The sequence below is a fragment of the Homo sapiens genome, chromosome 16, assembly GCF_000001405.40.
Source record: "Homo sapiens chromosome 16, GRCh38.p14 Primary Assembly".
Lineage (NCBI taxonomy): Eukaryota > Metazoa > Chordata > Mammalia > Primates > Hominidae > Homo > Homo sapiens.
The window spans coordinates 24120389-24143970 of NC_000016.10; the positions used below are offsets into that span (position 1 = coordinate 24120389).

General features: G+C 44.0%; 1 protein-coding gene across 3 annotated transcripts in view, besides 4 other annotated features; it reads left to right on the top strand.

Annotated features, from left to right (window-relative positions):
- PRKCB (protein kinase C beta) overlaps positions 1-23582 on the top strand; it is a 384629-nt gene that overhangs the window by 284406 nt on the left and 76641 nt on the right. For all 3 annotated transcript variants that reach the window (NM_002738.7, NM_212535.3, XM_047434365.1), the window contains one exon: positions 3447-3593. In NM_002738.7, coding sequence (NP_002729.2) covers positions 3447-3593 — 147 coding nt within the window. The remainder of the gene's footprint in view (positions 1-3446; positions 3594-23582) is intronic.
- Positions 15228-15763: an enhancer, noted in NCBI's record as "OCT4-NANOG-H3K27ac-H3K4me1 hESC enhancer chr16:24146937-24147472 (GRCh37/hg19 assembly coordinates)". NCBI's record gives its function as "activates a minimal SCP1, AML or CMV promoter by ChIP-STARR-seq in naive H9 embryonic stem cells {active_cell/tissue: H9 hESC(naive)}" and the evidence as "EXISTENCE:reporter gene assay evidence [ECO:0000049][PMID:30033119]".
- Positions 16300-16835: an enhancer, noted in NCBI's record as "H3K27ac hESC enhancer chr16:24148009-24148544 (GRCh37/hg19 assembly coordinates)". NCBI's record gives its function as "activates a minimal SCP1, AML or CMV promoter by ChIP-STARR-seq in primed H9 embryonic stem cells {active_cell/tissue: H9 hESC(primed)}" and the evidence as "EXISTENCE:reporter gene assay evidence [ECO:0000049][PMID:30033119]".
- Positions 16836-17371: an enhancer, noted in NCBI's record as "H3K27ac hESC enhancer chr16:24148545-24149080 (GRCh37/hg19 assembly coordinates)". NCBI's record gives its function as "activates a minimal SCP1, AML or CMV promoter by ChIP-STARR-seq in primed H9 embryonic stem cells {active_cell/tissue: H9 hESC(primed)}" and the evidence as "EXISTENCE:reporter gene assay evidence [ECO:0000049][PMID:30033119]".
- Positions 17700-17994: a silencer, noted in NCBI's record as "tiled region #8464; K562 Repressive non-DNase unmatched - State 14:Gen5'". NCBI's record gives its function as "represses a minimal TATA promoter and a strong SV40 promoter by Sharpr-MPRA in K562 cells {active_cell/tissue: K562}" and the evidence as "EXISTENCE:reporter gene assay evidence [ECO:0000049][PMID:27701403]".

Sequence of the window (23582 nt, forward strand, 5' to 3'; positions counted from 1 at the left end):
GCCATGGTTCCTATATGGTAACAGTGGAATATGCACCCCATGAGGGAGAAATAAACCTTGAAGTTTTAAGCTGCTGTGGGGAAGAGGGGATCTCAACATGCCTGAAATCACACCGGTCATCTCTGCCCACCCTCTTCCCCACACTTCCAAACTTGCTCCTCCTCCGCTTCTTCTCATCTCAGTGGAAACAACCAGCATCCTGCCAGTTGGTCAGAACAGAGGCTGGGGAGCTGTCCTTCATCTCCAATCTCCCTTCTCCCTTGCCCAATCTGCTACCCATCTGGGGTCAGTCTGTCTCCCAAATAGATCCACTTTGTTCAGTCTACACTGCAGACAACTGAGTCCATCATTTTTTTTTCTTTTAAGACAGGGTCTCCCTTTATCACTCAGGCTGGAGTGCAGTGGTGCAATCATGGCTCACTGCAACCTCCAACTCCTGGGCTCAGGGGATCCTCCCACCTCAGCCTCCCGCGTAGCTGGGACTACAGGCACACACCACCATGCCTGGCTCATCATTTCTCTCCTTGATAATGCAGTGACTTCCTAGTGATCACTCAGCCCACGTGCTGGGGGGTCTCCTCTCCACTCAGAGTGACCTGTTAAATATGTATGGTCATACCATAGCCCTGCTTCAAACCTTTCAAAGGCTGTCTGTCATGCTCATAGTCAGCCTGAATTTCTTAAGGTCCTTTCAACACTTTGTCTGCCTCCTGTGCCATATCTGCCTTGCATTTCATGATCCAGCCAGACGATGTTTCATTCCTTGAATGTGTCTTCCCCTCTGTTCCATAAATGCTGTTCCTGCTGCCAATACCAGTTTATCTACTTCAGCAACCCCAACATACCTTTTGGACACAGTATGGAGGACCCAATCCCAGCTAGAATGCACGTTTTTTCAGAGTATCTGTATCCATTTTGCCCTCTGATGTATCCTCAGCACCTAGAGGAGCACTTAGCATGTAGCAGGTACTCAACAAGAATTTTTGATTTGTTTGTTGGTTTGTTTATGACAGAGTCTTGCTCTGTTGCCCAGACTGGAGTGCAATACAGTGATCAGAGCTTACTGCAGCTTCCAACTCCTGGGCTTAAGGGATTCTCCTGCCTTAAGCCTCCCAAGTAGCTGGGACTACAGGCCCACTGCCACCATGTCCAGCTAATTAAACTTTTTTTTTGAGATAGGGTCTGGCTGTGTTGCCCAGGCTGGTCTTGAACTCCTGGCCTCAAGCAGTCCTGCCTCAGCCTTCCAAAGCTTTGTGATTACAGGCATCAGCCACCACATCCAGCCTCAATAAATGTTTTTTGAATGAATGAATGAATCTTCCCTGATATTCAAAACTTTGGAAAGATTTATTTTGCCTCTTTATCTTCAAAGCAACCAAATAATGCAACAATAATAATAGCTACCATTCACTGAGCATGTGTTGTGTGCCAGGAATGATACTAAGGACTCTGTGATACATCATTTCATGTCATCATCTCCATGTCTTGAAAAGGTGATGAATGTTTAGGAAGCTTCAATCACCAAATGCAAATTAAGTGCCTTCTCTGTGCCATACTCCTCTAGGTACCAGGGAAACAGTGGAAAGCAAAACAGACAAAATCCTTGCCATTGGGGAGCTTACATTCTGGTATAAGGAGAAAGATGATAAATTGGGAAACAAGTAAATATATGGTTTGTAAGATGGTGACAAGTGTTTTAGAGAAAATCAAGTAAGTAAGGCGGATGGAGATTGCTGAGAGCAATTTTATGTAGGGTGTTCAGGGAAGAGCCCTCTTATCAGAGGTGAGAGAGTTCTGGGGAAAGAGTGCTCTGAGCAGAGGGAACAGCAGGTGCAAAGGCCCTGGGGTAAGAGCATGTTTGGTGCATTCAGAGAGCAGCAAGGAGGCCAGTGCGGAAGTAGAAAGGAGGCTGAAATCAGAGGGGCTCAGTCATCTGTGGCCTTTGGCTTTTACTTTGAGAATAATGGGATGGTATATATATTGGGCAGAGGAATGTTATGACTTAACTGATGTATTCTGGGCCACACAGCTGATTCATGTCAGAGGATTCTACCACGAGGCTTTTTTTTTTTTTTTTTTTAGTGAGAGAGAGATGGGATCTCACTCTGTCACCCAGGCTGGTGGGCAGTGGTGTGATTATAGCTCACAGCAGCCTCTAACTCCTGGGCTAAAGCAGTCCTCCCACCTTGGCCTCCCAGGTAGCTGGGATGACAGGTGCACACCACCTTGCCTGGCTAACTTTCTTTATTTTTGTAGAGACAGGGTCTTGTTATGTTGCCCAGGCTGTTCTCAAACTTCTATCCTCAATCGAATCTCCTGTCTCAGCATCAAAAAGTGTTGGAATTGCAGGTGTGAGCCACTGTGCCCAGCCACACATGAGCTTTTAACTCCACAGTTTTCTCTCTGCTAAACGTGAATCCAGTAACGAAGTCCTGGCAGCTGCAGGTCTCCCACTCATGGCTTCCAGTTTTTGCCTCATTCCAAAGCACCTGCTGCCACTCTGAGCCCCATTCCACAGCTCATGGCAAGGAGTCCCTCTCCCATTGCACTGAGGACACACGTGGCCCTCACTCATCCATTTATGCAACAAATATTTAGTTGGGAACTATACTAGTTGTCAGGAAAACCATGGAGAATGAGAAATATTCCGTGTCCACAACAGTCTCCAATTTATTGGAAGGAAACAAGTGAACAGGCAGTTATCCTCCAGTATTTATGGGAAGAGAAGTGGATGAAGGAAGAAAATCAGAGGAGAACCTAGTGCAGACAGAGAGAATCGATGAGGGCTTCCCTGAGCCATGAAAATGTGAACCCCAAGCTGGGTTGCTGAAGGGGAGAGAATAGCCATTTGTACCACAGTAGCAGCAGCAGGTGCAAAGGCCCTGTGGTTGGAGGGGCCTGGGACATCCAGGGGAGTGAAAGGAGAATGAAGCTACATTGCAGAGAAGAAGCACCCTAGCAATGATGGAGCTGGAAAGCCAGGTAGGGCCTAAACACACAAGTCCATGAAAGCACCTCGATCTTTACCCTGAAAATGATGGGATGCCACTGAGACATTTTAAGCAGGAGGGGACTTGGTTGGATGAGAGGCTCACTGTGGTTGTGTGTGAAACCCAGTGTAAGGGAAATCACTGTGCCTTGTGCAGGTGAGAGATGATGGCAGGTAGTGATGGTTGAGATGGAAAGAAGTAGATGAATTCTAGAGACAGCTGGGAGGAAAGAAATGACAGTTCTGGTTATGGTTGAGACATGAGGGATAAAAGAAAGATGGAGTTGCAAAGGATGTCCGACAGGTTTCAGGCTTGTGGAGTGATGCATGGCTATGCTTTTCATGGGGACAGGGTGCCGGAGCTGCAGGAACTACAGCTTCCCATTGTGTGCCTGTGCCTTCCTACAAGATCGTCCTCAAACCCTGAGCATGTTTTCTGTGTGCTTCCTTTTTGCAGAGGGCCAAGATCAGTCAGGGAACCAAGGTCCCGGAAGAAAAGACGACCAACACTGTCTCCAAATTTGACAACAATGGCAACAGAGACCGGATGAAACTGACCGATTTTAACTTCCTAATGGTGCTGGGGAAAGGCAGCTTTGGCAAGGTATGGTATGATTTGGTGGCTCCACCTGCTTTGGAAGGAACATCTAACAACACAGGCACATTTGCTGTTCCTATGGGACGGACGTCCTAGTGGGAGAGAGAGTAAGAAGTAAATAGAGCCACACTACACTTTGTAATGAATACCATGAAGGAAATGAATGGAGTGCTGTGTCACAAACAAAAAGGCGACCCTTTCAGTCTGAGGAGGTGACACATATACTGAGACCTGGATGATGAGAAAGAACTAGCTATGCTTTCAAAGAGCTAGGAAAGAATGTTCTCAGAAGAGAGCAAGTGCAAAAGTTCCAAGGTGGGGACAGGCTGGGTGCATCCTAGGAACCATCAGAAGGTGTTGGGGCAAAATGTCACTAGCAGAAGGAGGTATAGGACGTGATGTTGCAGAGATAAGCAGGGCCCAAGGATGCAAACCTTATAAGCTACAATGAGGAGTTTGGGTTTCACTCACAGTGCAGCGGGGAGCCATTGAACCTTTTTAAGCAGATTAGTGACACGATCGGATTTGCCTTTTGGAAAAGATCACTCTGACAGCCAAGAATGGAAACGGTTCCTTTCAAACAGTTGCACAGTGGAAGGATGACCCTGGGACTCATACAGTGTTTCTGGACGCTTTTATAGATACTGCGAGATGCTGTTTTACTGAAGTTGAGATTGTGTTATAAGTATTTCTGACTCATTTAGTGTTGTTTTGGGGTTTTTAGTCTCTTTGCGTGCCACAAAGATGTCTAGCATAAATCTCATACCATGAACTCAGGTGTGCAAAAAATATAAATTTCTTTTCCATCTATGTAACGTAAGCCAAAAACCTGGGAGTTATCCCTGAGCTTCCCTCTTTCCTGTATTCCCACTGTTCCTGGCCACCGCCCCCCACAGCCATGTACAATGCATTGGCGAATTCTGACAGTTCCTTCAAAGTATATCATGTATTCACTAACTTCTCTTCATCTCTCTAATACCACCCAAATCTAATCATTAATATCACCTGGATAACTGCAGAAACTCCTCAGTGGTTTCTCAATCCCAATCTTGTTACCTATAATTAATCCCAATCCCAATCTTTTTTACCTATAATTAATCGTTACCTATAATTAATTGCAATCCCAATCTTGTTACCTATAATTAATCGTTACCTATAATTAATTGCAATCCCAATCTTGTTACCTATAATTAATTTACTTTCTACTTCGTAGCCGTAATAATTTTTTAAAGCTTACATTAGGTCAAGGGGCTCCCCTGCTTAAGACCCTCCAATGACTTTCCATCCAATTAGAAGCAATTCTATGTTACATCCTTAGCTTGTATCACCCTTTATCATCTGGCCCTTGTTCTCTGTGTGACTTCCTTTCTTCTTTCTCCTCCCCATCACCCACTGTGCTCTGGCCACAACATCAGCTCTTGGGTCACTGAAACACACAAAGCTCCTTCCTCCCTTAGAGGCTTTGTGATTCAGCTCCTTTTGCTGTTTGCAAGGCCGGCTGCTTCCTGCAATTCACATCTCAACTTAGACGCCACTTCTTCTGAAAAATCTTCCCCAACTACCCACTGAAAAGTTGCCGCTCATTCACTGTCCATTATGTTTAACTCTCTCATGGCACCCATCACTGAGCAATGCTTTTCTTGTGTCCTTGTTGATTTTTTCTCTCTTCCCTTTCTAAGGTCTAAGCTCCACAAGAGTAGGGATCTTCTCCGTCGTGGTCGCCACTGTGATTTCAGAGCCTAGGGATGGAATTCATTCAGTGCCCAGATTGAATGCGTGGATTCTCTCTGTCTGTGGGTGGCAAGGGCATCCACTGAGATGGACTAAGGGATCTGAAATGATGGCTCAAAGTCTGAAGAGCTTCAGCATGGGATGGGAATAGAGAGTAAGGGCAGCCAGTAAGATGGCCCATCCAGTCCCTAAGGTTGGGAATAGGCAGTTGGCAGTGGTCCACAACGTTGTATGGTTTTTACCAGCAGCTCTGAGTATCCCTGGGGTGGAGATGGAGAAGGAGATGGTGGATTTGAACTAAGCGTGGGATTAGTAGAATCAGTGAACTAGAAGATTATGGAAGAAAGAGAGTTAAGGATTCTGGGAAGAGAGATGTCCACTGCAGATCCACAGAGCCTGTACCAAGTGCTCAAGAAAAGCATGTTGAATACATGAATGAAAATGGTATCTAGATTGGGTTGGGGAAGATGTCTAGCATAAAGAGGGTCATCACCTGGGTGGGAAAAAGGGAGTTTAGAAGTCTAAGGATGAAAAAAAAATAGATGAGGTCAAGATACGTAAAATGTTAGGAAGAATTGAGGCATTGAGATTTCAAACATGGAGCAGTTTCTCTGATGATGAGGAAGAAAGTGGCCTAAATAAAGAAGAGGTTCTAATAAGCTGAGTTTTTACAAATTAAATGAGCACTTTTTTTTTCTTTTTGAGATAGAGTCTCACTCTCTTGTCCAGGCTGGAATGTAGTGGTGCATTACGGTTCACTGCAGCCTCGACATGCTGGACTCAAGCAGTCCAGCTCCTACCCAAGTTCACATCTTTCTCTGACCCCCAAATAACTGCATGCACCACCATGCCTGGCTAATTTTTGTTTTTGTTTTTTTGAATCAGAATCTTACTCTGTTGCCCAGGCTGGAGTGCAATGGCGCCATCTCGGCTCACTGCAACCTCTACCTCCAGGGTTCAAGTGATTCTCCTGCCTCAGTCTCGCGCTCGGCTAATTTTTGTAGTTTTTAATAGAGACAGGGTTTCACCATGTTGACCAGGCTGGTCTTGAACTCCTGACCTCATGTGATCCGTTCGCCTCGGCCTCCTAAAGTGCTGGGATTACAGACATGAGCCACCGCACCTGACCTAATTTTTGTATTTTTTTGTAGAGACATGGTCTCACTATGTTTCCCAGGCTGCTCAAGTACTTATAAGCTCAAGCAATCATCCTGCCGTGGCCTCAGAAAGTGCTAGGATTACAGGTGTGAGCCACCGCACCTGTCCTAAATTATATATATATATGCTTTCTTTTTTCCTTTTTTTTTTTTTTTTTTGAGACGGTGTTTCTCTCTTGTTGCCCAGGCTGGAGTGCAATGGCACAATCTCAGCTCACCGCAACCTCCGCCTCCCAGGTTCAAGTGATTCTCCTGCCTCAGCCTTTTCGAGTGGCTGGCATTACAGGCACGCGCCACCACGCCCAGCTAATTTTCCACTTTTAGTAGAGACGGGGTTTCTCCATGTTGGTCAGGCTGGTCTTGAACTCCTGACCTCAGGTGATCTGCCTGCCTCAGCCTCCCAAAGTGCTGGGATTACAGGTGTGAGCCACCACGCCCGGCCATGATATTCTTAATAAGCAATGCATTCACATGATTCATCATTAAGATTATATTAAAAGGATAAACACTGAGAAGTCCTGCTCCTACCCAAGTTCACGTCTTTCTCTGACCACTTACTGCTACTGCTTTCCCTATGTGAACACTTTTATTCAGTTAATTTGCGTCTTTCCAGTCCCCCTGAGCTAATTTAACATTTTTTATTCTTGTCCTTATTAACTCAAAAGTTCATGTACTACGCCTGTTTTTGATCACTTAACAAAACAGACGAGAGGATGTTTGATGGAGGATTGGAAGTTCTGGAGAGTCCCATGGAAAGGATTGGGGTTGGGGGGTAGTGGGTGGAGTCGTAGGAGAATGAATCACTGGGGAGCAATGAGAGAATAGATCATATGTCTCCATGGAAACTGTTATAATAATTGAGAACTCTGTTCCAGACTGGAGATATAGCATCAGATAAATCATAGATGAAAACAACAGTAAGTCATGAAAGCAAAGTAGAATAACAAACACCTCTATGATCCTTTAAAACAGAGTAATCCTTTGCAACTCTAGTGTTGCCAACTAGGGTTGTAAATTAATGCAGGTTTTATATTTGAATTCCAACTTTGAACATTTTGCAGTCTGGTTAGGTATATAGATCAATCTCCATAAACAGAAGAACACAGCTGCAGTGATTTGCTCTTCCCCTTCGAAAGATGAAAGTGATGGGGCTTTGGGGTAATCTGTTTCCACCTCCCTTAACCCAGGAAAACAAAACAAAACAAAACAAAACATGTTTTTAAACCCTAATGGCCAGGTGCGGTGGTTTGCGCCTGTAATCCCAGCACTTTGGGAGGCCAAGGTGGGCAGATCACAAAGTCAGGAGTTCGAGGCCAGCCTGGCCAATATGGTGAAACCCTGTCTCTACTAAAAATACAAAAATTAGCCGGGCATGGTGGCAGGCGCCTGTATTCCCAGCTACTCAGGAGGCTGAGGCAGGAGAATCGCTTGAACCGAGGAGGCGGAGGTTGCAGTGAGCCGAGATCGTGCCACTGCACTCCAGCCTGGGTGACAGAGCAAGACACTGTCTCAAACAACAACAACAACAACAGCCCCACTAATAATTTGTGGGGCAACTAGGGAATGGCACAAGCCTTTTGGTAAGCCCTGTAAAAATGAAACAAGGCAGGAAGCAATGGTGAAGGACATTGAATTTCAAATGTGTAAGCCCGTTTCAAAATCTTTCAAAAGAAGAAAACTGTGGAGAGTTTGTTTTTTTAAACAGGCAGAAGTGTTTACCTGGAAGGGCTATCTTACCAAAGCAGGGCCTGTTGGCATGGCTGGCTTACTCGGAGGTAGATGCCTTCTAGGACTTTTAATACAGAGCATTCAAACGTGTCATTCACGTTTAAAAATTATTTTATTTCTCAACTTTTATTTTAGATACAGAGGGTACATGCGCAGGTTTGTCACATGGGTATATTGTACCCAGGTAGTGAGCATAGTACCCAATAGGTGGTTTTTCATTTAGTGCTTAATGGTGCTTAGAATTTTATCCTTAACTGTCTGTTTTTATAATGCCTTGAAACTTTGAGTTTTGCCAACGTCTTTCAAGAATTGAACTTTGAATGATTGCTGGAGTCAAAATTATGCTGCATATATATAAATTGGGCAGATTTGTACCGTCCGGATTGATGATACAAGCTTACCTTATAAAGTAAATACAGCAAATACTTGATCAAGTATATACACAGCACAAGGATAACTCTTTATATTATAAACGTGATTCCTCTAACCCTAATGTGCTGCCATAATAAACATGCATTAAATATTTAATGAATGCTAATACTGTGTGTCTTCTGAGATTTCATATGTGCTCATGGTAATGATTTGTATGATCCACGTCTTTAAAAAATAGTATGCAGGAAAGTTTGAATGGAGGCTTTCTTGTTCTCTTATACCCCTGACTCTTGCCTATGGATGGAACTGAGCTAATGTACGTGAGTTGAGATGGGATCAGGGGGTTAGAAAGGAGCTGGGGGAGGCAGCTGGTGTGCTATAGTGGACATAGATCTATAACCATAAAGAAGCTGAAAGAAGCTTCAGCACAGAAGATCTATGTAAAAATGGTATTTACTGGAAAACAGAAATAGCCCAAATGGTATATTCATAATAAATACAAAAAAAAACGAAGTGACTCTCTCCTCTCTCTTTCTGTCCCTCTCTCATGCACGTGCATCTATCTATCTATCTATCTATCTATCCATCTGTCTATCTAATCTATCATCTATCTACCTATCATCTTTCTGTTATCTATCTACCCATCATCTATCTATCATCTATCATCTATATCTATCATCTGTTTATCATCTATCATCTATTTACCTATTATCTGTCTATCTTATTATCTATCATCTGTCTACGTATCATCAATCAATCAATCATCTATCTGTCGTCATAGAAAGATTTTCATAACATATCAAATAAAAATAAAAGCAAATTATGGAACATTATGATTGGCAATATAAAATGTGTATAGACCAATTCCTTTTATGTAATATACTCATGGTCCCTGCTTTCATTAAACTTTTTCTTCAACATTTCATTATGAAAATTTAAAAAATGGAAAAGTTGAAATGATTGCATAATGAACATCTATAACACCCACCACCTGGATTCCACAAGTAACATTTGACTGTATTTGCTTTATCATGTATCCATCTGTCTATCCGTCCATCAACGCTTTTTTAATGCATTTCAAAGCAAGTTGCAGACATCCATACACTTTACATTTGCAGATAACTGCAAATGCACTTTACATTCAGCATGTATACCATTTAACCAGAATTCAATATTTGCAATGATTATTTTAAAGGTAAAATTACACACACTGAAATGCAGCTATCTTAAGTATATCATTCTATGAGTTTTGAAAAACGCATAGTTTTTAAAATGCAGTGGAGGTATACACATTCATTTAAAAAATCACACAGGCATGAAAGCAACTGTGATGTTTAGTATGTTCCATGGGCACCTGCGGGAGTGGGATTTGCCCTGGTTGAAGCCAGAGAAGTCTTCTGTGAGAAAGTGGCTCGAGCTATAGCTAAAGGACGAGTTAAGTTAACTATGCAAAGAGGGGAAATAGTAAATGAAAATCTCAGAATGTCTCTTTGTTCCTGGCCCCCACCCCCAAAATAGGCTTGGTTAATCTGTGTGGCTGACAGGGCACCTAAACTTTTATTAGGGTAGATTCATCTGCTGTAACAAATAGACCCCCAAATATATACTGGCTCAGACACAATAGAAGTTTAAAATTTTCATTAAACTTCTAAGTTTAAGACGTTTAAGACAGGCGCGCCTGGCCACACCCACTCTCTCCATATGGTGATTGGGGACAAGGTGTCTTTCGTCCTGTATGGCTCCATTAATCCCTAGAGCTTTGTTTTTCTCTGCAGTCAGAGGGTGGAGGAGGCACAAGCTGCTTCTTAAAAGTCTCAGCTTGGGAAGTGGCACCAATCATTTCTGCCTACTCTCTATTAGAGAAAATATAGCCACGTGGCCACACTTCAGTGCAAAGGAGGCCGGGAGAACAATTTGGGTGGATGACACGTCGTCTCAGCCACATTCCCTACTTTTCAGTCCTGGCTGCAATTTTTCACGGTGACACACAAAAGACCTTCTGACTTTTCCCTTTAGAGCTCTTGATGTATCACACTCCACACACAAAAAACTTCAAGTGCCTCTTTTCTGTGACATTTCTTTGTGTTCAAATCATGGAGCACGCCAGGTGTTAGTGGTGACTTTCTTGAAGCTAGCACGAGCCAGGAATAAGTCAAGTAGGAAGAAGTCAGCAGCTTATGAAATTAAAAAGAAAAAGTGAAGTTACTATAGAAACTAGGTGCCCAGGTATCACATTTTTTCTCTTTTAAAAATCCCATCCAGCTCTGTTGCTGTCTATGAATCTAAGATGATCTAAAATCAGAAGCAGAGAGGTGAGAGACAGAACCATTAAGCTTCCCCATCTAGTGCTTGACTTCCCTAAAATAATCCCAGGACACTGAACCAATGACATTAAATGCCTGGGTGTATCACTAAGGAGGCTGTGGAGGGTCTGGTGGTGGCCCCTTCCACTAGGGTACCCCTAGAAACTTGGCATTTGTGTGACACTCTCCAAGATGCTGGCATCAACTTTTGTAGCTCAAAATTCAGACCGTACAACAGAGTTGACTATAGTCTTGGCCAAGTTTTCCAAATATTAGTCATTTATGCACCTGTTATGGGTTTTTCCTTGCCATTACATGCCTCCTTTATTCGATCATATTTTTCTTTAAAGTGACTTTAACTTGACTTCCTTTTCTTCTTCTTAACATTGCCCTAAGCAATAATATATGTGAAATCACAAGTTTGATGTACCAGTTATACATTTATTTTAATGTGTTTGGTTTGATATACCAGTTATATATTTATTTTAATGTGTTTTAGGAAAATATATTAAAAGAAGAGTAATTTTGTTCTTGTACTAGTACCTGAACCACATTTGGTGAAAAACTGTCATAAAATCTTACACTTACACAATGTAAGATTGAGGTGATTTGGCAGCTCGATTACCATGGTATTTCTAAGAATGTAAAGTCTTTTGTTACAATTCGTGTGCGTACCTGGAAGTTACAAAAAGTCTCTGTTCATCCCCCTCCTCCATATCCTTTCCTTCAAATAAGGAATATGCGCAACACTGCCTGTATCCTTAAAAATCTTTCGTGTGATCTTGACCTCCCTCTACCCTCCTTTACTCACTAAATATATCCAGACAGCAAAGCTACTCTTTGGAGATTTTCTACCTTCATTTCCTCCCCACCCACTCCTTCCTTATCCTTTTGTATTATGTCTCCTCCCCTTAGCAACTTTCAGAAACATCTGTCTCCCAGGTTATCAGCAGTCTTGTAACTCATATCTCTCCAGATCTGAGCATGAGGCATCCTGGCTTGCTCAGGGGAGTAGGGCAGGCATGAGGGGAAGGGAACTGGAAATAAGATTGGAATCCATACATTATTCTGGGCAGAAGTCATCACCTTTACAGTAACTTCCCACTGAAAGGCATAACTAAGGATTCATTCATTCAAGAAGTATTTATTGAGCATCTACTATATGCCAGGTACCCTTGTAGGTACAGAGGCAATGTCTATGAACAAAACAAACAAATATATCTGCCTGCCCTCATGAAACTTATATTCTAGTGGTAGTGATGGTGACGACGAAGATGATGATAACACCTAACATTTTTTGGGTCCTTACTATGTGCCAGGCTCTGTTATAAGTGCTTAGTATGTATTCATTAGCTCACACTTACTCTATGATGCAGCTACTGTTGTCCCCATTTTACAGATGAGGAGAGTGAGATGCAGAAAGTTGGAATAACTTGCTGAAGTCACACAGCTAGTAAATGGCATTAAACAGATCAGCTTTGATTTAGATGTGTATGATTTGGGGCTTTTTTTTTTTTTTTTTTTTTCTTCTAGAGACAGGGTCTCACTCTGTCACCCAGGCTGGAGGGCAGTGGTGCAATCATAGCTCACTGCAGCCACGAACTCCTTGGCTCAAGTGATCTGCCTGCCTCAGCCTCCCAAAGTGCTGGCATTACAGGCATGAGCCACTGTGACCAGCTGATTTTGGGATCTTGATTGCTTGAAACTTAACATGTAATTTCCTAGTTTTAACAGCGATTCCGTGGAATGTCACAAACATATTCTAGGAGGTTAGTCATTTTTCCCTCTTATTTTCTCATCTTTCCCTCTAAGTGCTAAGCAGAGTTTATGGCCAGGTGCAGTGGCTCACACCTTTAATCTCAGTGCTTTGGGAGGCCAAGGCAGGAGGATCACTTGAACCCAGGAGATGGAGCAACAAAGGGAGACCCCATCTCTATAAAAGCAAAAAACAAAAAAAAATTGCATGCCTTATTTTCAGTGTAAGTTGCTGCCATTAGACAAACCACATACTCCTAGTGATGGAGGGCTCTGGGTTTTCTGTTCATCCTCATCACTCTGTGCTTATTGGCTACCTGTCCATGTGTAAATAACACATGTGCCCTGTGCTCATTGGAACCGTGAGTCATCCGCAGGGATTCCTAAGAGGGCCCATGAGAATGGCTTTCACTCCTCCAGCCTCTGCCCTTCTGACCTCCTCCACAGGCTTCAGCCTTATGGGAGTCCCCAAGTCTTGGAAGCATCTCTAGTGAGTGCAGTGACTCCTTAGCTGGTTCCTTTTCAACCTTCAACCTCCATTTTCTTAACCCTTACCAACTCTACTGCCCAGCTGCACCCACTCCAATTCCACTCACACCCTGCCCATTATCGCCAACGTTTCTGAGCTCATGCTCATTGACAAGGACCATGCCATGGATTTGCATGCATTATATCATATTAATTCACACCATAATCCTGCAAGGTAGTCACTGATAATCACTCTATTATATCATATAGAAATTGTAAGGCAGAGAGGTTAAGTGACTTCTCCAAGAAGGAGGCGGGACCTTGAAAGCTGGTTTTGTGATTTCAGTTGCCTCTTGCCATCTCTTCTCCACTTTGGGGTCCACACATCTTCCCAAACCCCTAGTTTAAATTTTTTTTTTTTTTTTGACAAGAGTCTCACTCTGTCACCCAGGCTGGAGTGCAGTGACGTGACCATGGTTCGCTGCAGCTTCAACCTCCCAGGCTCAAGCAATCCTCCCATCTCAGTCTCCCAAGTAGCTGGGACTACAGGCACATGCCACCACACCCAGCTAATTTTTTTATTGTTTTTGTAGAGACAGGGTCCCACTTTGTTGCCCAGGCTGGTCTCGAACTCCTGGGCTCAGGGAATCCTCCTGCCTTGACCTCTCAAAGTGCTAGGATTATAGGAGTGAACCACCATGCCCAGTCCAAACCACTACTCTTTCCTCTTCCTTTTTTCCTTTCTTTCTTCCTTCCTTCCCTTTCTCTCTTTTTGACTTTTTTGAAACAGCAGTTACAAAACGATTACAAGAGCTACCTAATGAGGCCAGGTGTGGTGGCTCATGGCTATAATCCCAGAGCCTCTAGAGGCCAAGCCTGGAGGATTGCTTGAGCTCAGGAGTTCAAGACCAGCCCAGCCTGAGCAACATAGCAAGACCTGATCTCTAAAAATGTGTTTAAAAATTAGCCAGACACAGCTGGATGCAGTGGGTCATACCTGTAATTGCAGCACTTTGGGAGGCTGAGGCAGGCAGATCACGAGGTCAGGAGTTTGAGACCAGCCTGGCCAACATAGTGAAACCCCATCTCTACTAAAAATACAAATAAAAATTAGCCGGGCGTGGTGGCGCATGCCTGTAATCCCAGCTACTCAAGAGGCTGAGGCAGGAGAATCACCTGAACCTGGGAGTCAGAGGTTGCAGTGAGTCGAGATCATGTCACTGCACTCCAGCCTGGGCGACAGAGCGAGACTCCGTCTCAAAGGAAAAAAAAAAAAGCCAGACACACTGGCACACAGTTGTAGTCCTAGCTACTCTGGAGGCTGGGGCAGGAAGAGAGGTTGAGCCCAGGAGTTCGAGGCTGAAGTGGCTATGATTACACCATTGCACTCCAGCCTGGACAGCAGAGGGACACCCTGTCTCTTATATATTTAGAAAGCTGCATAATGACATTTGTGGGTTTCTCCTTCTTCCATGAAAAAAAAAGCAAAAAATGGTATCTCATGACTGCATTGGTATGAAGACAAATATATTAATATTACATATTAAAACATGTACTTCCACCTAGGTTCACTTTTTTCCTTGTGATTTAAAAAAAAAAATTAAAGTGCCTTATGAACCTTGAAAACAGCATGGGCCCTGAGCACTGTGCCTGGTGGGTTTTGATGGAGAAGTCAGCCCTATGTTCCAGCTCCAGCATCTCAATAGCACCTCCCTCTGCAGCCTCCAAACTTTTCTTCCCAAAGGCCAGGGTGCTTAACTACCATGCTCTGTGAGCATGAGAGAGCATTCCAGAGTTCCAGGCCCCAGACCTCAGTGTCCCTTTTTTTTTTTTTTTTTTTTCCTTTTTGAGACAGAGTCTTGCTCTGTTGCCCAGGCTGGAGTGCAGTGGGGTGATCTTGAGTCACTGCACCTCCCAGGTTCAAGCAATTCTCCTGCCTCAGCCTCCCGAGTGGCTGGGATTACAAACGCCTGCCACCACGCCCAAGTAATTTTTATGTTTTTAATAGAGACAGGGTTTCACCATGTTGGCCAGGCTGGTCTCGAACTCCTGGCCTCAAGTGATCCGCCTGCCTCAGCCTCCCAAAGTGATGGGATTACAGGCTTGAGCCACCACACCTGGCCTCACAGCATCATCTGCTGGAGCCAAGCCCGGCACCAGATTTTAACAGGAAGAAATTGCCTGAGGAGATTAAAAGGCAGCTTAGTTCATGCCAGGAACAAAGGCCTTCTCTAAAGTCTGAGCTTCTGTTGTGGGAGTCTCTACTAATTTTAATCTCATTAGTGGTATGTATTCACACACAGACATATACATACATACATTAGATGTGGTTATATAATCCTACAGACAAAAGCACTTCCCTGTACTTCAGCCTGCTTTGCTATCTTCCTGCACCATATGGTGAGTTCCTTTATCATATGGTTCACAGATAGCTCAAAGTGTTTGCTACCTGTTTCCTTAATCCTCTTCCAGAGAACCTTTTTGACATTTGCTGTCTGATCTTGGATTCCTGCCTTCTCTTTGGTTCTATCGCAATTATGTCACTTCCCTGCCCCCACCAAGCCTTCAACCTTTCCTTCTTTCATATGCAATTCTGATTGCAGCGTGTTTTTTTTTTTTTTTTTGCCAACTCATCTTCCCAGATCCTCGTGAGGCCCTTCTTCCACCTTCCCGAATTTTCCAGGTCTCTCCTCAATGAAGTGACTTACTGCTCTTCCGCAGCCTCTGCCTTCAATTCTCAGAAGGTAGTATGTTACAAGACAAGATAAGGTTCATTTTTCTCAAGAAAATAAATTATATCAAGGAAAATGAAATGTCAGGAATTTAAGTTTTACAACCTTCCATCTGCTGCAAGTAGATTGTCAAGCCAGAGTGAGTAAAGCGGGTATTTGCTGAGAAGACATGGCTTGTTTCTGTGTATCTCAAGACACCCAGAGGCAAGAAGTGCCACCTGAATGAGAGAGCTTCCAGCAGTCTGATAACCATGGCTCCATCTGGGGGGTTGTAGGGGGGCCCCCAGCCTGTCATCCCTGCTTCTCGATGACATCTCTCTGCAGATACGCATCAGCACCACCTCTCTCAGCCTTGTTGATGCTTCTCAAGTCTCCATGTCTAATTCTCACATGTAGAATATCCTAGGAATCTAAAATCCCGGGAAAGAAAAACTGATGGGCCAGTGTGGACCAGGGATCCCTAGGATCCAATTCACTGTGACCGGGGAAGCGGTTACTTTTCCAACCATCCATCAGGAAAGATGACAAGAAAAGCAAATAGGATGTGGGCAGTTTTCCTATGAGAAAGAAGAAAACGACGGGCCTGTCTGGCACACAGGCCAAAGTGGGAGTTTCCTTTAAATGTGTATTATTTTTTATTTTAATTTTTTTATTTTGTTTATTTATTTATTTTTGAGATGGAGTCTCACTCTGTCGCCCAGGCTGGATTGCAGTAGCATGATCTCGGCTCACTGCAACCTCCACCTCCTGGGTTCAAGCGATTCTCCTTCCTCAGCTTCCCGAGTAGCTGGGATTATATGCGCATGCCACCATGCCCGGCTAATTTTTTTTTTTTTTTTGTATTTTTAGTAGAGACGGGGTTTCACCATGTTGGCCAGGCTAGTCTTGAACTCCTGACCTCAAATGATCCATCTGCCTTGGCCTCCCAAAGTGCTGGGATTACAGGTGTGAGCCACTGTGCCTGGCCTTTTATTTTAATTTTTTAGAGACAGCATCTGGCTTTGTTGCCTAGGCTGGAGTGCAGTGGCATGATCTTAGCTCACTGCAGCCCCGAACTCCTGGGCTCAAGCGATCCTCCTGCCTCAGCCTCCCGACTAGCTGGGACTACAAGTGCATGCCATCGTGCCTGGCTCATTTTTGTTTTTTTTCTAGAGATGGGATCTCATTATGTAGACCAGGCTGGTCTTAAACTTCTGGCCACCAGCGATCCTCCTGCCTCAGCCTCCCAAAGCAGTGGGATTACAAGTGTGAGTCACGTCGCTGGGCCCTGTGTTTTCTCTAAAATGTTGCCTGATTCTTTGGGAAAAATATCGCAAAGATAAATCAAGTCCTCTTGTAGAAGGACCAGATAGAGCCCATTAACATGGAAACTCTGTCTCAGGTGATCATTCATGGCTACTGGTCCAATTATTGTGCTATCATGGTACCTGCCATCCTCTGCATATCCATCTCAACTTTATCTCTATGTATTATTTCAGAAATTTACAGTCCTGGTAAAATGAATCCCTGGTTACTAACAGCATAACCCATAATCTTTTCTATAATACAACAAACATAATGGCAGAAATTTGTGGATTGTAATCATCCAACACCCATGATAAATATTTTGGATGTACAAATGTGGATGGTACCTATGATTATTCATGCCGTAGTTGTTTCAAACCCCCACCCCACCCCACAGTTTCACCTTATGTACTGACCTCATTGAACACCACTGCGGAGATTGATAACATTTTTGGAGCACTGGGAACTCATCTGAGTGTTTTATAGGCATTGCTCATTTAATCTTCACCATGGGTCTTGTGAAGTGGGTGCTGTTATTATCTGCATTTTTAAATCTGTAGATAAAGAGACAGAGTCTCTATTTTGCAGATGAGGGAATAGAGGCTCAGAGAGGTGAGAAGCTTGCAGTCCTGAAGCGGTGGAGGCAGGTTCAAACCAGGGAGCCTGGCTGCAGAATGTGTTGCCACTCAGCTCCATAGTCCCCTTGCATCCAGTGCCCCCTACTCCTGCTGTGCTGAAACCCGTTCTCTATTAGCAGTGCTCTGTAACTCCAACAACAAAGGGGGGCAGTGCTTACAAGGCAGATCAGATTATAAACAAGCTTTCTTCCTGCCACCTAATTGTTGCCATGAATGACAGGACTTTAAGGGTTTCATTTCATTCTCTTTCAGTAGAAGCCATCAATTATTAGTTTATTTTCCCAGCAACCATTTAAAAAAGAGTCAAATTAAATCTGCTTTTATTTTAACTATCCAGCTTTGTCAAATATAACATAGGATTCAAAGAAATTTGACTAAGCCATATATGTCACCAATGTTTATTTTATTTATGTATTTTTTTTTGGCATTTCTGTTCTTTTGTGAGTGTGAGTGGTGAGAACACTTGGGATCTCCTCCCTTAGCATATTTCAAGTATATAACACAGTATTATTAACTGAATTACCATGCCATACCTTTTAAATTGCTAGTACTTATTTATCTTGTAACTGAAAGTTTGTACCCTTTAATCAACATCTCCCCATTTTCTCTACTCCCAGCCCCTAGCAACCACCATTCTGCTCTCTGTTTCTTTAAGTTTGACTATTTTAGATTCCACATATGTGAGATCATACAGTATTTGTCTTTTTTTTTTTTTTTTTTTTTTTTTGAGACACAGTCTTGCTCTGTCTCCCAGGCTAGAGTGCAATGGCACAATCTCGGCTCACTGCAACCTCACCTCCCAGGCTCAAGCGATTCTTCTGCCTCAGCCTCCTGAGTAGCTGAGATTACAGGCATGCACCACTATGCCCGGCTAAATTTTATATTTTTAGTAGAGACAGGGTTTCACCATGTTGACCAGGCTGGTCTCAAACCCCTGACCTGAGGTGATCCACCTGTCTCAGCCTCCCCAAGTGCTGGGATTACAGGCGTGAGCCACCGTGCCTGGCCCCAGTATTTGTCTTTTGGTGTCTGGCTTATTTTGCTTAGGATAAGGATAAGGTGCTCCAAGTTCATGAACATTTATTTCAGCTCAAAAGAACCGTTCAGTTACTGGAATTGATCAATATCAATTCTATTGGTAAAAATCAATTCTACTGGTATCAACAATTAGACGACACAGCCCAGAGTGTGAAAATAGTAGTTCTCTCGCATTTCTTGTTACAACCCAATTAGACATTTCTTATTAGACCCAACCACACATCCTCATTTAAATACCAGGGCCAGGTATTTCAGGTTTCAATCTCCTTGTTCCACTCCTCCCCTTTCTAGCAGTCACTGTGAGTCATCCCTTCTAGGGGTGTAGTGACATTTGCTTAACAATAGCAAGTCCACAGAAACCAGAGATGACTGGGCTAAATGCACCTTCATTCTAAACTTCGTTTCACACTTTCATGGCTTTCTCAGCTAGTGGGCAAAAATGCTACTTGATTAAATTACAGGTGTGGCATGGCCTCATTTTAAAAGGTTGAAATCTTAATGCAACCTGTCAATCTGACCTCTGAAATGAAAAATTAGCTTATCTATCACACAGATCCATGCTTTTATCATCTATAAAGAGATTTTTAAATACAGAAAACCTTACGTAATAAATCAAGAAATAGCCAAGTTGTATCATCCGAGTTGATCTATACGCCGGATATCACTGCTCTTCTTTTCATCTGGCCAACGTGAAGACTGTATTCGAAAAGTGCTGCAGTCCTACCTACATCCACACTATTAATTCCCAAGCATCTTCTCCCCATTATATCACTTTCCAGTTTTTCCTGAGGTACGTCTTCACTTGGCAGAGTCTACCCAGTTGCCTTCTCCTAAACAGACTGTTAGAAGTCTGAAATCATTTTTAGACTGCTGGCTTCCTCTTTACTGCTAGAGGCAAGTGCATTTGATTCCTTCAAACCACATGACTTCGCATCAGACTGATGTGGCCACTGTCAAATGTAACATTTAAACATATGTTTGTGTGGACATATGTGTTTGGAACATTTCATCCGAAGTCTGACGCTTAAGAATACACTTTGGAAAATCAGAATTAGGGCCTTCAAGATAAACTAGAATGTGATAGGACATCTTCATTTCTGGTCAAAGTTGGAAGTTTAGGAGAGCCTCAAAAGTGAAGAATTCGCCAACAACCATGGTGAATGCAGTGTACTGAGTTCTTGTAACCACCCGGTGGGATCTTCTTGCCTGCTCCCCAGATAGAGCCGATTTCTCAAGAGGGGAATTATAATAGGGAAAGAGCTTTACACACAAAGACTCAAATCAGCCTCCATGAATATTTGGAGGCTAGAATTTTTCCAAGATAGTTTGGCAGGGAGAGGAGGTGGCTAGGGAATGGGTGCTGCTGATTGGTTGGAGATGCAGTCATAGGGGTGTGGAAAATGGTCCTTATGCTCTGTATCCACTTCTGGGTGGGGTCGCAGGACTGGCTTATGGGTTCACGTCGGGGCTGTCCAGTAGTCAGAAAGGGAAAAGACTGAAAGACATCTCAAAAGGCCAATCTGCAGTTCTACAACAGTGATGTTATCTGTGGGAGTAATTGGGAAAGTTGCAAGTCTTGTGACTTCTGGAATAATGGCTAGTAATCCTTTATGTCTACACCTTAGCCGAATTCAGGCTCCTTTCATCCTCCTAACTTGGCAGTCTTTCATTAGTTTTACAAAGGCAGTTTAGTTTGGGGGAAGGGCTGTTACCATGTAAACTATACACTAAATGTTTCCCAAATTTAGCTTGGCCCAAGTCCAGAAATGACTAAGGGCAGTTTGGAAGTCAAAAGCAAGATGAGGATTGGTTAGATCAGATCTCTTCCACTGTCATCATTTAGTTATAATTTTTGCAAAGGCGATTTCATTCTTTGCTATATGTTAAGCTGTTAACATGCCTTATGTCATGAAATCATCATCATGGCCCTACTAACTCTTGTTAATGGACTCTTGTCTATATTTTACCCTGATATCCAACCTGCTGTGAGACCTCTTGCTTTTGTTTGTTTGTTTTTATTTTTTGTTTTTTGAGACAGAGTCTCCCTCTGTTGCCCAGGCTGGAGTGCAGAGGTGAGATCTCGGGTCACTGCAACGTCCACCTCCCAGGTTCAAGTGATTCTCCTGCCTCAGCCTCCCAAGTAGCTGGGATTGCAAGCATGCACCACCATGCCTGGCTAATTTTTGTATTTTTTAGTAGAGACGGGGTTTCACCATGTTGACAAGGCTGGTCTCGAACTCCTGGTCTCAAGTGATCCACCTGCCTCAGCCTCCCAAAGTGCTGGGATTACAGGCGTGAGCCACTGTGCCCGGCCAAGACCTCCTGTTTGGAATGGCTTTCCCCTCCATTCCAGGCCTCTGGTTATCAGAGATGAGGTAGCTTAAGCCCTTCAGTGCTTAATCCCTGGCCCAGGCAGAAGGAGGGCTTTGGCAAATCCGCATGCTAGAAAAGATGAGTTTGGAAGGGCCTGGAAACCAGGGTACATAGTTCCTTTTCCCTTGAGATTTTAGAAGTTGACAGACGGTTTGCTGGTTTTGTAGGGAAATCCTATCTGCCACAGAGCATGTGGATTACCCAGGGAGGATCCTGGAGGTCACGTGCCCAGTACCACCTCTAAGCACAGACAGTATGACCTTGCCTTTCACTCTGGGCTTTGTGTAAGGATCTCCCAGGACATAGATTTCATAGCGACATTGGTCGATTGCTCTGATTCACTTTCTGCCTTTCTCTTTCTTGCATATGGAGAATGTGGGAAAGAATCCCCTATACACACCCACAGGAGTTAGAACATCCTTCTTATCCTCCATAATCGTGCCTTCAAATTAATAATTATGGCTTGCTGTGTGTTGGGCCCTGAGCTTAACCTGCATTATGTCACTTGATCTCACAACAACCTTCTGAGGGAGAAACTGTCATTATTCCCCTTTTATGGATTGGGGAACTGAGACTCAGAGAGGTTGAGTAACTCAGCCAAGAACACACAGCAAACCATATGATAGAGTCAGGATTTGAGCTCATGATTCCAAAGTCTGAACTTGAACCTTCTATGACTATAATTCTAATTAGATATAAGCTTCCAGATCATCAGACTCTGTCGATGCCATAATCTCTTTCTTACATGGCAGAGATGGTCAGGATACCTGCCACGTGGTAAAGACGTGGATGCAGAAGTTAACCTCCATTTGATTAGCTTCGGTGCACCAAGCTGCACCCAGGTTTCTCTCGAAATCCTGCTCCTGAGTGGGTGAGTGCCCCGGGAAGAGCAGGTGGTTGGCGTTTGCTCAGTTTTCCAGCCCCTGATCACCCTGATGGCCTCTAGCCAGCTTTTCTCTCTGTCCTCCTCCAGTGAGGGCCAGGCCTGGCACAGGCAGCCTCCCAATGTTTAGAAGGTTCCGATTTAATTGGTCTAGAGTGTGGCCCAAGCATCGGCTTCTAAAACCTCCACAGGGAGTTCTAATATGCAGCAGGGAGAAGCAGCAGCTCAGTGCAGCAGGCAAGGCTCGTCCACGGAAGGGCTGGGGGAAGGAAGGAGATCATATTTGCCTTAAAACTTGGAGTTGAGCTCATCTGACCTACCCTCTGCAGGTCTTCAGGGGGACTGGGAAGAATCCATGCAGGAGATAGCCCCAGAGATCAAGGGGATCCTCAAAGAGATGGGATCTTAAGATAGAGGGAGGGTACACTCCTTGCAACAGATCAGCACCCTGACCCTGTACCCAGCCTCGTCCACAAACCTGCTCCCTAGTGCTGGGCATGGGATACAGAGCTAGGGGTCGTGTGGTCCCCCGGAGGCCTACAGTATATACACATGAGCTGTAACTTGCTTGTCTGTCCCTCCCCAAGTTGACCTCAGTTTATCACACCTTACTGATGCTCTTCTGCCAATTTAGTGTTTGAGGACCCTGTGAGCCCTAAAGGTCTCTTTCTCTTATTTTATTATTTTATTTTATTATTTCATTTATTTATTTTGAGATGGAGTCTCACTCTGTCATCCAGTCTGGTGTGCAGTGGCATGATCTCGGCTCACTGCAACCTCCACCTCCTTGGTTCAAGCGAGTCTCCTGCCTCAGCCTCCCAAGTAGCTGGGATTACAGATGTGCACCACCACACCTGGCTAATTTTTGTACTTTTAGTAGAGACGGGGTTTCACCATGTTGGCCAGGCTGTTCTTGAACTCCTAACCTCAGATGATCCACCTGCCGTGGCCTCCAAGGTGCTGGGACTACAGGCATGAGTCACCGTGCCCGGCCGAGATAGGATCTTAAGACAGAGGGAGGGTATAGTCCTTGCAACAGATGAGTACCCTGATCCTATACCCAGTGTCATCCACAAGCCTGCTCCCTAGCAGGGATGGGAGAGGGAGCTAGGGAGGGAGGGGCATGGGAGAGGGAACTAGGGATCGTGTGATCCCCTGGAGGCCTACAGTATATACACATGAGCTGTAACTTGCTTGTCTGTCCCTCCCCAAGTTGACCTCAGCTCACCACACCTTACTGTGTTGAGGTATAATTTACAGAAGACTCACTTGTTTGTTTCATGTAATCTTGAATGATGCTCTTCTCCCAATTTAGTGTGTGGGGACCTAAGAGCCCTAAAGGTCTCTTTGTCTATTTTAGATGCACCATCTGAATTCAAGTTAGAATCTTTTCCCAATCACTGTTTGTTAGTCAAGCTTGCAGACTGTGACAGTGCTAGATGTTTTGGTCTCTTCTTCCTTGCCTCCTCCTCCTCCTTTTCTGATTCTGTTGCAGGGATGTTATTAAGAACACCATCCACAGCACAGTGTGTT